Raw genomic sequence first — 15,050 nt, forward strand, 5'->3', positions numbered from 1 at the left:
CTGAGCCAAGACAGGACAACATGGAAGCCCAGCACGTCAAGGTCCAGGAGCGTGTTCAGTGGCTGGGCCTGGGGGCAGGAGGAAGAGAAGAGACAGATGCAGGGACAGCCCCCCCCCATCCTGCCCCCACCATGATTACTCATCCTTCTTTGTAGTTACGTTACTTCATTGTATTACCTGGAAATAAGCTGTCTCCTTGGTTGATGGTCTATTCTTTGAGAGACAGCTTTAGAGGCCAGCAGACCTAAATTCTAATCCTTCTGCCTGATGTTGGGCAAGTCATTTGTGGCTTTGGAGCCTCAGTTCCTAATCCGAAGTGAATCTCACAGTGGCCACCTCCCAGGGATGCTGTGCTAGATGAACTGCCTGAGTTGGGTAGCTGGGCCAGGCTCTAGGTCACTGTGAGATGCTGCAGCTGTGGCTGTACCCTGTTAGTGCTGGGCCTGGAATCCCAGCCTCCAACACAGCTGTGATTAAAGAATGCCTGGAAGGAGCAATGCACGAGGAAGGAGAAGGATGAGAATTTCGAGGTTAGCATCAGATGACTGGGGACTTGGCTTTCCTCTGGCTACTTCCCAGCTACTTGGGGCTCTGACACCTCTGGCCGGCCACACACACACCTGAGCACTCACCATCTCCCGGAACTCACTAGCCTGATGGCCCAGGATGACTGAGTGCCGGCAGATCTGGCAGGAACAGCTTGTGAATGGCATGGGTGGCCAGGGTCTCTGCCTGATAAAGAGAATGTTCTTCCCTCAGGAAAGCGGCCCAGGTGTCCTGGAGCAAAGGACTATACTGGAATAGGTTGGTGCCTGCAGCCTAGAGCTTGGACAGTTTCGGCAGCCAAATGAACCCTGGGATTCCCAGTATTTGGGAAGAGGTTAAGGTATGTGGGAAGAGGCCAAAAACATAAGGGTCCTGCTCCACACAGACAGAATCTGAGACACCCTCCCCGGGGCACCTGGTTCTTCTCCAGTCCTTTGTCACCTCCCAAGCGGACCTCGGAAAAGGCAGGTCTGAGGAGGCGGTCCGACGCGGGACCTAGTCCAGGCTGGTGGAGACCCCTCCGCCGTCCTCTGAGTACAGCTGCCGGTTGCCACCTCTGAGGCAGAACTTGAGGAAAATGGGGTCAAATGGAAGGTACTGGTATGGGGACACACGCGGGGAGGCCTCCAAACACCCTTTCAAGATGGTTCGTGTTGACCCCGATAGGTCTTGTGTTGGAGGGGCAGGCACTGGGGGTTGCTGGTCGACCCGCATGTTGCCCCACCACAGAGCATCCAGGGCTAAGAGCGAGGCAAGAGCCTCCTCCGAGCTTAAGCTGCAGGTCCAAGCTCCCACGAACAGATGGGGAGCGAATGCTCTGCCAGCAGGCGGAACAATCCTGCTAACGCTAGGGACATCCTGGAACTCGACCCGGTGCACAGCGGCCACTTCTCTCTCTCACGGGAGCTCCAGAGAACAAGTGCAATACATAACATCCGCCGCCAGGTGGAGCCCGACAACCGGCGCAAACGGCTGCAGTCCACGTCGGATCGCTTTTCAGACATGGGTGGGTGGAGAGCGTCCGGCTCCTCTCGGAGCTCCAGGTCACCATGACGCGTCCCCAGCAGCATAAGGGAAGGCTGACTGCTGGGAAGAATAAAGAATACAGACTCTCCCTACGTGACTCCCAGTCTGGCCCGTGGAAAAGCTAACCGCGAGCCTGCGGGCCGGGCGCCCTGCCAGGCCGGGCTTTCCAGAGCCTCGCAAGTGGACTTAGAAAATACCGCGCCCTCAGGTATGCGATGAAAAACTGCAACCATGAAAGCTTTGTTGAAAACACTTTAATTTTAAAATTTCTGAACAGAGAAGATCTTTAAAGCATAGAACAGAGCCCGTCACGGTTGTTCACGCCTGTAATCCTAGCGACTTGGGAGGCTGAGGCGAGAGGATCGCTTGAGGCTAGCAGTTTGAGACCAGCCTGGGCAACATAAATAGACCGCTGTCTCTTAAAATAAAAATAAAAAGGCATGTATACAACAAAGACAACTCGAAAGCCATCAAGGACACGATTGATTAACTTGATAGCATAAAGTTTAAAGAAAATTTATCTGTGCACGTACCAGGACAAAGTCAAATGACAACAAATGGGTGTGGGGAACATCGGTGCAAATACATGTGTGATGATAAGAATACTGATTTCACCATTACTTGTCATAACAAAAAATAAAGAAAACATAGCCATTCAGAAAAGCCAGGTTTAAAAAATTCTGGTACATCTATACAATACCGTTAATTTATGTTTTGGTTTATTTCTTCAGGGCGGTAGACTTACATGTATTAACATGGAAAGATGTCCATGATGAAATAGTAAATGAAAATAGCAAATTCATGAGAATGCAAATTAGAATCATAGTGCGATACCATGAATGCCTTAGACAAAATAGTCTTCAAAAGTGAAGGAGAAATAAATACTTTTTTTTTTCCTTTCTGAGATGGAGACTCACTCTGTCACCCAGGCTGGGGTGCAGAGTGCAATGGCGTGATCTTGGCTGCACACACCACCACGCCCAGCTAATTTTTGTATTTTTAGTAGAGGTGGGTTTTCACCATGTTGGCCAGGCCGGTCTTGAACTGCTGACCTCAAGTGATCCACCTGCCTTGGCCTCCCAAAGTGCTGGGATTACAGCTGTGAGCTACCGTGCCTGGAAGAGACTTTTGTAGAAAACAAAAATTGAGGCAATTTGTTGCTGGTAGACCTGCATGCAAGAAATGTTGGAATAAGTTAAAAGAAGTTCTTAAGAGAAAAGTAAGACATTTGGATCTACATAAAGGAAGAATATAAAAAATGAATATATGAATGTGAAGTAAAAACTTTGCATTTTCTTATTTTCAATTGATATAGCAGCTAATAAATAATTTGTTCAAAATAATGATAGCAATAGTTATTAGATGTTTATAATTTATTGATAAGTGAAACGAATAATAGCAATGATATAAACTATAGGAGGGAAGAGTTAGAAATATTTTGTTATTATAAAATACTTGCACTACTCATAAAGCAATATAGTATTACTTGAAAGTAGACTTGTACTAATGGTAAATGTACATTGCAAAATCTAGGGCAACCAATAGAAAGATTTTTTGACAGTAAAAAGAAAGGAAGAATTTACATGCTTAAATGGGAAAGAAAATGGAACCATATAAAATGCTCAATTAAAACCACAAAAGGCAGGAAAAGAGTGGAAGGCAAAAATAGGAAGAAAAAAAAGGACAACAAATAGAGAATAATAACAGACATGATAAATACCAATCTAACTGCATCTGTAATCACCTTTAATGTCAATGGTCTACACACACCAATTAAAGACTGAGTTCATCTGAGTTGATCCCCCACAAAAAAGACCCAACTATACATTGTTTAAAAGAAACTCACTTTAAATGCAAAGACATATAGATTTGAAGTAGGAAATGGAAAAAGATATACAAGGTTAACAATAATTAAAATAAAGCTGAAACAGCTATATTAGTTTTCAGACAAAGTAGACTTCGGAGAGAAAAGATAATTCTGGATGAATATAGGCACTGCTTGATAACAAAAAGTGAATTATCTGAGAAAATATAACAATTCTTAATGTGTGTGCACCTAACAAGAGTGTTAAAATATGTGAGGCAAAAAAACTGATAGAACTGCAAGGATAAATAAAAGAATTCACAATCATAGTTGTAAACATCAACACCCTCTACCAGAAATGGAGAGATCCAATAGATAGAATATCAATAAAATATGGTAGAACTAAACAGCATCATCAAAGAACTGGAAGTAATTCACATCTGTAGCCTACTTAGTGTAATGACAGCAGAATACATATTCTTTTCACTCTCACATGGAGCATTCACCAAGATAGGCCACATTCTGGGCCATAAAGCCCACCTTAACACATTTCAAAGTATAAAAACCATGCCATACCTGCTCTCTGAAAACACTGGAACCTATTATACAAACCAGTAATAGAATGATAGCTGGGCAATCTCAAAATACTTGGATATTCAGAAATACACGTCTAAATAACATAAGGGTCAAGAAGAAATCTCAACAGAAATTAAAATAATTCTTTGAACTACATGAAAACAAAAATACAGCTAATGCCTCCAAGAGTTTCTCACTTCCCCTATGGGAAAGTCTGTATTTCCTACAGAGATCAGTCAAAGCTGGACAGGGAGCCTCCAGGAAGGGTCTCTGTCATGGCTACAGTTTTGTCTGGAGCACAGATGCATACAGCACTCCCGAAAACGTTTCTCTTTTCAAATTAGCTAGCTGAGACATTCCCTAACTAGTCATGGAGGCCAGGGAGGGCATCCCTTCCACCTGGTGGACTGAGTGGGGATTGGTCATAGGAGGCACCCTGCAAAATTGTATCTAAACCCCTCTCTGGAGGCCAGGACAAATCTGAATGGACCATGGAACTGGGGAGAGCCTGGATGGGAGCCAGTGGTCAGGAAGGCCTTGGGGGCTGCTCAGATGGGGCCAGGTATGAAGGCCTGAGAAGGGTACCTTGTTGCATGGGTCTGGTTGGCCCAATGAGTCTCCAAAAAGTTTCTTAAGACCCCTGGTTGGGGGGAGGACTGCATCTGGCTATAAAGTGAAGGCCCCAGGAATGGTTGGTGCCCTACTTTCCACTCCAGTCCAAAGCAGTGCCTGTCATCAGAGGCACCAGAAAATATGTTCTAAGTACTCCCTGTTTGTGGGCACCAGGTAAGGATGCCCAGTAAGGCCTGGGAAGGGCTTGTGAATCCAGTCACAGTTCTTCCTGGCCTTGTCTATGGCATGCAAATTCTTTAAATGTTTGCAAGTCCCTCTCTGGAGGAGCAGCAAAGGCCTGAGTGGCTGAGGAGACCTATTATTTTTATTTATATTATTTTATATGAAATTATTACTTATGTTATTTTTGTTATTATAAAAAGATGTAAGGTGTGACATCAAAAACATCAAACATGGGAGAAAAGGAAGTTAGAGTGAAAAGTTTGTGTATGCAATCAAAATTAACTGTTATCAGCTTAAATTAACCTGTTATAAGTATAACATGTTTTATGTAAGCCACAGGGTAGTCACAAAGCAAAACCTGTAATGGATACACAAAAGATAAAAGGAAAAGAACCAAAACATACTACTACAGAGAGCCATGAAGCCACAAGAGAAGAAAGCAAGAGAGGAAGAAGGGACCAAAGGCTCTACAAAGCAACTAGAAAACTCTTTAACAATGGCAAGAGTAAGTTCATACGTGTCAATAATAACCTAGAATGTAAATGGATTAAATTCTGCAGTTAAAAGATACATAGTGGCTAAATGAGGTATTTTTTTAAAGACCCAGCTATATGCTGCCTACAAAAGACTCACCTCACCCGTAAGGACACATGAAGATATTCCACGCAAATGGAAAGCAAAAGAAAGCAGCAGTAGTTGTAGTTTTATCAGATAAAATAGACTTCACATTAGAAATCCTAAAAAGAGACAAAGGAGGTTATTATATAATGATAAAAAGATCCTCAATTCAGCAAGAAGGTATAACAATTATGAGTATACACCCACCCAACACCAGAGCAAATACTAGATCTAAAGGGAGAGACAGACTGCATTTCAATAATAGGAGACTTCAACACCCTACTTTCAGCACCGAACAGATCATCCAAAGAGAAAATCAGCAAAGGAACATTGGAGTTAAACTACACTCTAGAGCAAATAAACCTAACTTTTACAGAAAATGTCATTCAACAGCGGGAGAACGTGTATATATTCTTCTCATGAGCACATGGAGCATTCTTCAGCATAGACCATATGTTAGGCCACAAAACAAGTCTCAACACATTTTTAAAAATTAAAATCACATCAAGTATCTTTTTTGACCACAATGGAATAAAACTAGAAATCAATAACAAGAGGAACTTTGGAAAATGCACCAATACAACATGATCCTGAACAACCAATGGGCAAATAATGAAATTAAAAAGAATATTTAAGAATTTCTTAAAACAAATAAAAATAGAAACACAACATACCAAAATTTACGTTATATGTCAAAAGCAGTAGCAGTACTAAGAGGGGTAGTTTATAGAAATAAATGCCTATATAAAAAGGTAGAAATATTTCAAATATAATGATGCACCTCATGAAACTAGAAAAGCAAGAATAAATCAAACCCAAAATTACAGGAAGAAGAAATACCAAAGATCACAACAAAAATAAATAAAATTGAGACTAAAAATATGAAAGATCAACCAAATGAAAATATTGTTTTGAAAAGGTAGACAAAATCAACAAATCTTTAGGTAGACTAATGAAAAGAAAAACTCAATGGAATAGAATCAGAGATAAAAAGGAGATATTACAACTGATAAAACAGAAATACAAAAGATCATTACAGACCATTATGAACAATTTACATCAACAAATTGAAAACTTATAAAATAGATATATTCTTGGACACATATAACCTACCAAGATTGAACCATGAAGAAACAGGAAACCTGAATAGAACAATAATGAATAATGTGATTGAATCAGTAATAAAAAGTCTAACAAAGAAAAGTCTAGGACCATATGGCTTTACAGATGAATCCTACCTAACTTTTAAAGATAAGCTAATGCCAATTATTCTCAAACTGTTTTGAAAAATCAAAGGGGAGAGAATGCTTCCAAATCTTTTTTAAGGCCAGCATTACCCTGATACCAAAACCAGACAAGGACACAACAAAAGAAAACTATAGGCCAATATTTTTAATGAGCATAAATGCAAAACTCTTCTAAAAAAAAACCCTAGAAAACAAAATCCAACAGCACAGAAAAAAGATTATACACCATGATCAGGTGGTATTTTCCCCCAGGGATGCAAGGATGTTTCAACCTACAAATATCAATAAATGTGATACATCACATACATCACATCAAGAGAATAAAGAACAAAACCTTGTGATTATCTCAATAGACACAGAAGTAGTATTTGATAAAATTCAACTCCTCTTTGTGATTAAAAAAAAACCCTCTCAACAAATTAGGTATAAAAAGAACATACCTTAAAACATTAATGTTCGTATATGATAAACCCACAGTTAACATCGTACTGAATAGGGAAAAGTTGAAAGCCTTTTCTCTAACATAGAACAAGACAAAGATATTCACTTTCCCTAAGATCCTTCCTCTAAGATCTAGAACAAGACAAGGATATTTACTTTCACCACTTTTATTGAAAAATGGTCAATCACATCGTTTTCTTTTATTGAAAAGTGGTGAAAGAGTCCTAGACAGAGCTATTAAAAAAGAAATAAAGAGCATTGGAAAAGAGGAAGTCAAATTGTCACTGTTTGCAAATGACATGATCTTATATTTAGGATAACCTAAAGACTTCACTAAAAAGCTGTTACAACTGGTTAACTATTTCAGCAAAGTGGCAGAATACAAAATCAACATACAAAAACCAGTAGCGTTTCTATATGCCAATAGTGAACAATCTGAAAATCAAGGAAGCAATCCCATTCACCTTAGCTACACAAATATAAAATGCCTAGGAGTAAATTTAACCAAAGAGGTAAAAGATCTGTACAATCAAAACTGTAAAACACTGATAAAAGAAATTGAAGAGGTAACAAAAAATAAAAAAACTCATATTCATGATTAGAAAAATTAATATTGTTAAAATGTCCATACTACCCAATGTTAACTATAGACTCAAGACAATTCCTATCAAGTGACATTCTTCATAGATATAGAAAAAGCAAGCCTAAAATTCATGTGAAATCACAAAAAAGCCTGAATATACAAAGCAACCCTGAACAAAAAGAACAAAGCTGGAGACATCACACTATCTGACTTCAAAATATACTACAAAGCTGCAGTGATAAAAAATAAAAAGCATGTTTATGGCATAAAAACAGACATATACACCAAAGGAACGAAATAGAGAACACAGAAACAAATCCATGTATTTATAGCCAACTGATTTTCATCAAAGGCCATAAGAACATACACTGGAGAAACAACAGTATCTTTAATAAATGGTGCTGGGAAAACTGAGTAACCATATGCAGAAGAGTGGAACTTGACCCTGATCTCTCACCATATACAAAAATCAACTCAAAATGGATTGCAGAGTTAAATGTAAGCCTCAAAACTGTGAACCTACTAGAACAAAACTTAGGTAAAATCCTTCAGGACATTGGTCCGAGCAAAGATTTATTGAGTAAGACCTCAAAAGCACAGGAAACCACAGCAAAAATTGACAAATGGGATTACATCGAGTGAAAAAGCTTCTGCACAGGAAAGGAAAAAATCAACAGTGTGAAGAGACAACCTACAGAATGGGAGAAAATATTTGCAAAGTATTCATCTGATAAGGGATTAATAATCAGAATACACCATGATGCTCAAACAACTCAATAGCAAAAAAAAAAAAACAACAACAAATACTCTGATTTTGAAAGGGGCAAAAGATCTGAATAGACATATTTCTCAAAAGAAGAAAATCAAATGGCCAACACATAAATGAAAAAATGCTCAACATGATTGATGATCACAGAAATGCAAATCAAAATCACAATGAGATATCCTTGCACCCCAGTTAAAGTGGCTATTATCAAAAAGACAGAAAATGACAAATGATAAGGAGGATGTGGAGAAAGGGAAGTACTCATACACTGCTGGTAGGAATGTAAATTCGTACAGCTACTGGAAATCGCCACACTGAAAAGCACTGTGGAGATTTGTCAATAAAACTAACCATAGAACTACCATATGATCCAGCAATCCCACTAGTTGGTATATGGCCAAAAGATAAGAACTCAGTGTATCAGAGAGATATCTACATTCCCATGTTTATTGCAGCAGCACTATTCACAATAGCCAAAATATGGAATCAACCTAAGTATCCATCAATGAATGAATGGATAAAGGAAATGTGGTATATATACACAATGGAATATTATTCAGCCAGAAGAAAGAATGAAATTCTGTCATTTGTAGCAACATAGATGGAATTGGAGGACATTATGTTAAGTGAAATAAGCCAGATGCAGAAAGACAAATATCATGATTTTACTCATATGTGTGGGCTAAAAAAATGGGAGGTAGTGAACAGAATGGTGTTTAGCAAAAACTGGGAAGGGTAGTGGGAGGAGGGCTCGAAAAGGGGTTGGTTAATGGATATAAAATACAGTTAGATAGATAGAAGGAGTAAGATCTAGTGTTTGGTAGCACAATAGGGCAACTATAGTTAACAGTAATTTATTTTGTATTTCACAACGTTCTCAACACAAGAAAACAATAAATGTTTGAGGTAATGAATATCCCAGTTACCCATATCTGATCATTACACACTGTATGCTTGTATCAAAATATCACAGGTACTCTATAAATATGTACAACTGTTATGTTTTCATAAAAATTAAAAATAAAAACTAAACTATTAATTGTTCTACTTTGTGGACATAAAATATCTTTCCATTTATTTGTGTTTTCTTCCATTTTCTTTCATCAGTGTTTTATAGTTTTCAGTGTACAGTTTTTCACCTCCTTGGTTAAATTTACGCCTAAGTATTTTATAAGTTTTTTGTTGCTATTGTAATTGGATTGCATTCTTTTTTTTTTTTCTGCCTCCCAGGTTCAAGCGATTCTCCTGCTTCAGGCTCCCGAGTAGCTGGGATTACAGGCACCCGCCATCATGCCCGGCTAATTTTTTTTGTATTTTTTAGTAGAGACAGGGTTTTACCATGTTGATCAGGCTGGTCACTCTAATTCCTGACTTCAGGTGATCTGCCCACCTCGGCTTCCCAAAGTGCTGGGATTACAGGCGTGACTGCCGCACCCAGCCGGGATTGTATTCTTAATTTCCATTTTGAATAACTCACTATCAGTTTACAGAAATGGTAAATCACCCTTTGTGGATAAAGCATGGGTACTCAGCAATTAAGAATAAACCCTTCAGCTAATGTCTAAGTTGCTTTCATTGTTACTTTATCTGTTTGATTTCTTGTCTAAAGTTTGATAATGGCAACTAACCCATTTTTAAGAGAAATTAAAATGGATAACATGCATGTGATATTCTGTGAAAATTGCATGACTTCTTTTAATTAATTTAAGGAAACTATAGATGTGTAGTTAGGGCTTTAAACCAAACTGGTGCAATTTATTTTCTGCTAAATTACAAAGTTATTTGATTGAATTGACAAGTAATATTGCTTTGTTTTATTTTTAATTCATTACTGTGCAAATTCACATTTGGGGAATGTAAGATTATATAGGAAACCTTGAACCACCTTTAAATAACTATATTTTTATTTATTAAGCCACAAACAGTTTAGTTATGTTGTTATGAGCAAATATATTTACTATTTTTTCTCTGCAATAGGAATAGAGATTTCTTTTGCTCTTCTATCTCAACTGAAAAGGATATGTTTTCTGGATCACTGCCATTAGCTCCTTCCATAGTATTTAATAAATAAATGCATTTCATAGTGTTAGGCTTGTATAAATACACTATTAAATTTTCTTCACTATAAATGAACTTGAGCAACTCTCATATCTACAATTTCTAGCACCAGGAAAGTGACATTTTCCTTTAAGATGAGGAATAGGCCTTTTGAGGTCATGGTGGAGTCATATACTCCCTTTTATGACAATTATTAGCACCATGTGAGGGCAGAGAGGAATGTAAAAAAAGTATCATTTCAAGTTAATAAGCTACAACCTGCCACCACTGATGGCATGTCCACTTACAGCTCACGAGCCAGCTCTTCATCAATAAGTGCTGCTTTGCAGTGGTTTGTAATTGAATTGTATGATGTAAATGTGGAGACAGCCAATCATGATGTTACAGGATCTTTGGGGTTTTGATTTTCTTGCCCAGAAACCTCTGTGGACAGTGGCATCTTTGCCTGAGTTCTTGTCCTGCATCCAGGAGGAATGAGGTATGCAGACAAAGGAAGGGCGAAGAAGATTAAGAGGAGTTTTATTTAGTGTTAGAACAGCTCAGAGAAGACGCACAGTGGGTAGCTCCTCTCTGCAGGCAGGTCGTCCGGTGGAGTGTTCAGCTTTCAGCAGAGAGGAGGCCCTGGCGAGTGTGGCTCCTCTCTGCAGGCTGGTCATTTGGAGGTCTCTGCAGGTCTCTGAAGCTCTCAGTAGAGGGGAGAGTTCGTCTCTGCAGCTGGTCGTCCCATCGTCTCTCTGTCCTCTGCCCTCTCTGGTAGAGCCCAGGGCTTTTATGGACCTCAGAGGGGAGGAAGTACCTGCCAATTGGTCCATGAGCAGCCATTGGTGGCCCAGAGGAGGGACAGATCCCCAGTCCTGTCCACAGGATTGGCAGTCTGGCTCCCAGCCTTCAGGCCCTCCCCGGCTTGAAGGTGGGGCTTTACTGGGGACCCATCTGCTTCTGCCCAGGACTCTCCCTCCCCCTGCCATTCAAGGCCCCAGGGCTTGACCAACCCTGTTGGGAGATTAAAGCGGGTGCCAGAAGAGGAGAGAGGCCAGGCAGTGAGAGCAGACATCCCAGAGCCAGCAGGGGGTGGCAGGTGCAGGCTGCCAAGATGCCAGGGTCCTGCGCCTGAGACGGTGGCCTCAGTTGCACCCAGGGAGCTCCCACCCAGCCAACTCAGAAGGGGCGGGGCTTCTGCTTGTCTCCGTCTCCTTCCTGCTCCATGGAGCCGGAAGCCCAGGTCTGCAGCAGTGGGTTGGGTGGCTGCAGCTGTACCCAGGAGGGCAGATCCTGTCGGTTCCCAGCCCCCTCCAAGAGCACAGGGAAGCTTGGATCCACAGCTGCAGTTTGGGCTGGGCTACAGCCTGCTCCATAGAGCAGGAGGCCTGGGTCTGCAGCCACACCAGAGAACTCATACCCCAACTCAGAAGGGGTGGGGCTCCCACCAGCTTCATGGAGTATGCAGGCCCAGCCATGCCTCCCTGCTGTCGCCTGCATGATGGCTGCAGCTGCTGCCATCAATGAGAGAAAAAAAGACAAAATTTACCAACATCAGTAATGAGAGAGGTGATCTCACTACATACATTACATATATTAAAAGGCATAATAAGAGATTACAATGCAAAGCTGTATGCCAGTATGCTTGACAGCTTAGAAGTAAAGACAAATTCCTTGAAAGATGTAAACTACTAATACTGACTCAAGAAGAAATAGATGACATGAATAGTCTATTAATTAGATTGAGTTTATTGTTAAAAACCTTCCCACAAAAAAATTCCAGGCCCAGATGGCTTCGCTGGAGTTTTCTAGCAATTTAAGGAAGAAATAACAAATAAACATAAACTCATTCAGAAAATTGAAGAGGAGAGAATACTTTTGAACTCATTCTACAAGTCCAGCATTATTCTGACACCACATTCAGACAGACTTTTTTTTTTCTTTTTTGAGACGGAGTCTCGCTCTGTCACCCAGGCTGGAGTGCAGTGGCGTGATCTTGGCTCACTGCAACCTCCACCTCCTGGGTTCAAGTGATTCTCCTGCCTCAGCCTCCTGAGTAGGTGGGATTACAGGTGCCCACCACCATGCCCTGCTAATTTTTTGTATTTTTAGTAGAGACAGGGTTTCGTCATGTTGGCCAGGCTGGTCTCGACCTCCTGACCTCATGATCCACCCACCTTGACCTCCCAAAGTGCTGGGATTATGGGCGTGAGCCACCATGCCCAACCTAGACAGACATTTTTAAAAAGTAAAAATACAGTCCTTCATGACCACAGATGCAAAAAAATCTTAACAAAGTTTCAAAAAATTGACTTATACCAGTAATTCAAGTTTAGATTACCATAATAAAATCAACCAAAGCAATTTGGCATAAAGACAAACATTCTGCAAAACAATTTGGCAGTTTCTTAAATGTTAAACAGATACCTACCATATGACATAGCTATTCTTGTCTAGATATTTACCCAAGAGAAATGAAAGGATATTTTCATATGACCATCTGTGCATAAGTGGTCATAGTAGCTTATTTATAACAGATGAAAACTGGACACAATTCAAATGCCCATCTTCAAATGAATGAACACACAAATTGAGCTATATTCACACAACGAGATACTACTCAGCAATAAAAAGGAATGAACTATTGATACATATCACACATTAATGAATTTCAGAATAATTCTGTTGAAAGAAAAAAGCCAGATAAAGAAAAGTAAATACTATGTGGTTCCATTTATATGACATTCTGGAAAATAGAAACTAATCATGAGAGAGATCAGATCTGTGGTTGCCAGGGATTTGAGGGAAGCAGGGAGGTTATGGGGGAGGGGTTATCAAGAGGGAGGAGAATATTTTGCTAGGTTGATGGATATATTCCTTATTTTAATTGTGATGATAGTTTCATGGTTGTATACATAAGTAAAAATTTAACAAGTCCTGCACTTTAAGCATGTGTGTTCATTATATGCCAATAAAGCCTCAATATGGCTGTTGAACAAAAATTAACTACTGAACTACTAAATATGTGTATCACTCTAGGAAATGAAAGACACCTCTTCAACTGCTTTTGTGTCTTGACTTTTTTCCCAAAGGAAGACCTATATTTTGCTTCATTTCTTTCTACTCTACATTTCTTTTTACTCTGCTTGCATTTAGTTTAAAAAAAAAGCTCTCTGTTGGTGATTTCTAATCTATTTTAAAGTAAATAATTGTACTGTCCAATTAGAGACTGAGATAACTCATGAATTATCACACAGGTTGTTCTCCTGTACAATATATATGATTTTGAGTACTAATATTACACAGTGAATTCAGAATTGTGTGTCTGCATATACATACCATAGTCTTATAAATAACTTCAACTTGCAATAATTAACTTGCAGTTAATTCTTACAGTAGCATGAGTTTGGGCCTCTTAAAAAAAGAACTAAAACCAACTCCCTGCCTGAGAATAGAAACACACACACACACACACACACACACACACACACACAGACCAAATTGAATAATCTTGTTTTCTCACTTACAATTGTGGGCATTCATTTATGGAGTTCTTGGCAGCTATGTTAGCATAAAACCCCACCTATAATTATCATTCATATTAGGATAATATTTCACAAATGTGGTCAGTATTGTCTTCCACAACATTACAGTTAGTTGGTGGAATAAGTTCTAGTGTTGTACAGCACTATAGGGTAACCACAGTAAACAACAGTGTATTGTCTTTTTTTTCAGATAGCTGGGAGAGAGGGTTTTTCATGTTACCAACACAAAGAAATGATAAAGGTTTGAGGTGATGGACATGCTAATTACCCCGATTTGATCATTATGCATTGTATACATCTACTGAAATATCCCACTGTACCCCATAAATATGTACAATTATTATGTGTCAAGTAAAATATGAATATATATAGTAAATAAATAAATGAAGTAATTTGCCATTACTTAACATTTCATTAAATGTATGTTTCCAAAATTATATTTGTTCTTGAGACCTTTTGAGTGATCACAGTTTCTGCTATTCTCCATAAGGCCTCAGTTTGACAGGGTGATGAAATCTTGAATAAAACACAAAGGAATGTGTTTGTATTTGCAGTGCTTCCCTTGCAGGTGAAATGGCCAGCAGACCCAGGCTTTCTGGAATGCATTCATTTTCTGCAGTTGAAAGGGACGATCCCGGATCTGAAAGAAAGAGCCACAGTGACTCCAAGAGTGGAGCAAGGGCATGCTGGACACTGCATAGCTATGGCCACATGTGTCACCTCCGAGGGAGATGTGAGAGAAACGCAGAGGGATCGCTTGTGACTGTGCCTTCTCGATGTATGTTGGACTGTTCTGCTCAAATAGTAAGTGTGACCAAGGAGCCGGTGAACATAGGAAACAAAGAATATTTCATTTGATATTATAAGGAATGCGACAATTCTAGTCACTTGAAAGTGAACTATATCTGTTGAGAATTCCTAGTTTTAATTGGGAAGAAATGTGCTTCTCTTCTTGAAAAGCCACAGGTTATTGCTTTTATGTCTAGTATCAGTCCTCTCTGGATTTCTCAAAAGATTTTCTGTATATCCTACCACTTTCCTTCTGTTGCTGCAGTTTGGAAGTAGT

General features: G+C 39.6%; 1 pseudogene, besides 1 other annotated feature; it reads left to right on the top strand.

Moving 5' to 3' along the window:
- Positions 671–1,171: an enhancer, noted in NCBI's record as "H3K4me1 hESC enhancer chr9:44227771-44228271 (GRCh37/hg19 assembly coordinates)". NCBI's record gives its function as "activates a minimal SCP1, AML or CMV promoter by ChIP-STARR-seq in primed H9 embryonic stem cells {active_cell/tissue: H9 hESC(primed)}" and the evidence as "EXISTENCE:reporter gene assay evidence [ECO:0000049][PMID:30033119]".
- On the top strand, positions 10,566–14,787 carry CNTNAP3P7 (CNTNAP3 pseudogene 7; annotated as a pseudogene).

The sequence above is a fragment of the Homo sapiens genome, chromosome 9 (assembly GCF_000001405.40).
Source record: "Homo sapiens chromosome 9, GRCh38.p14 Primary Assembly".
Lineage (NCBI taxonomy): Eukaryota > Metazoa > Chordata > Mammalia > Primates > Hominidae > Homo > Homo sapiens.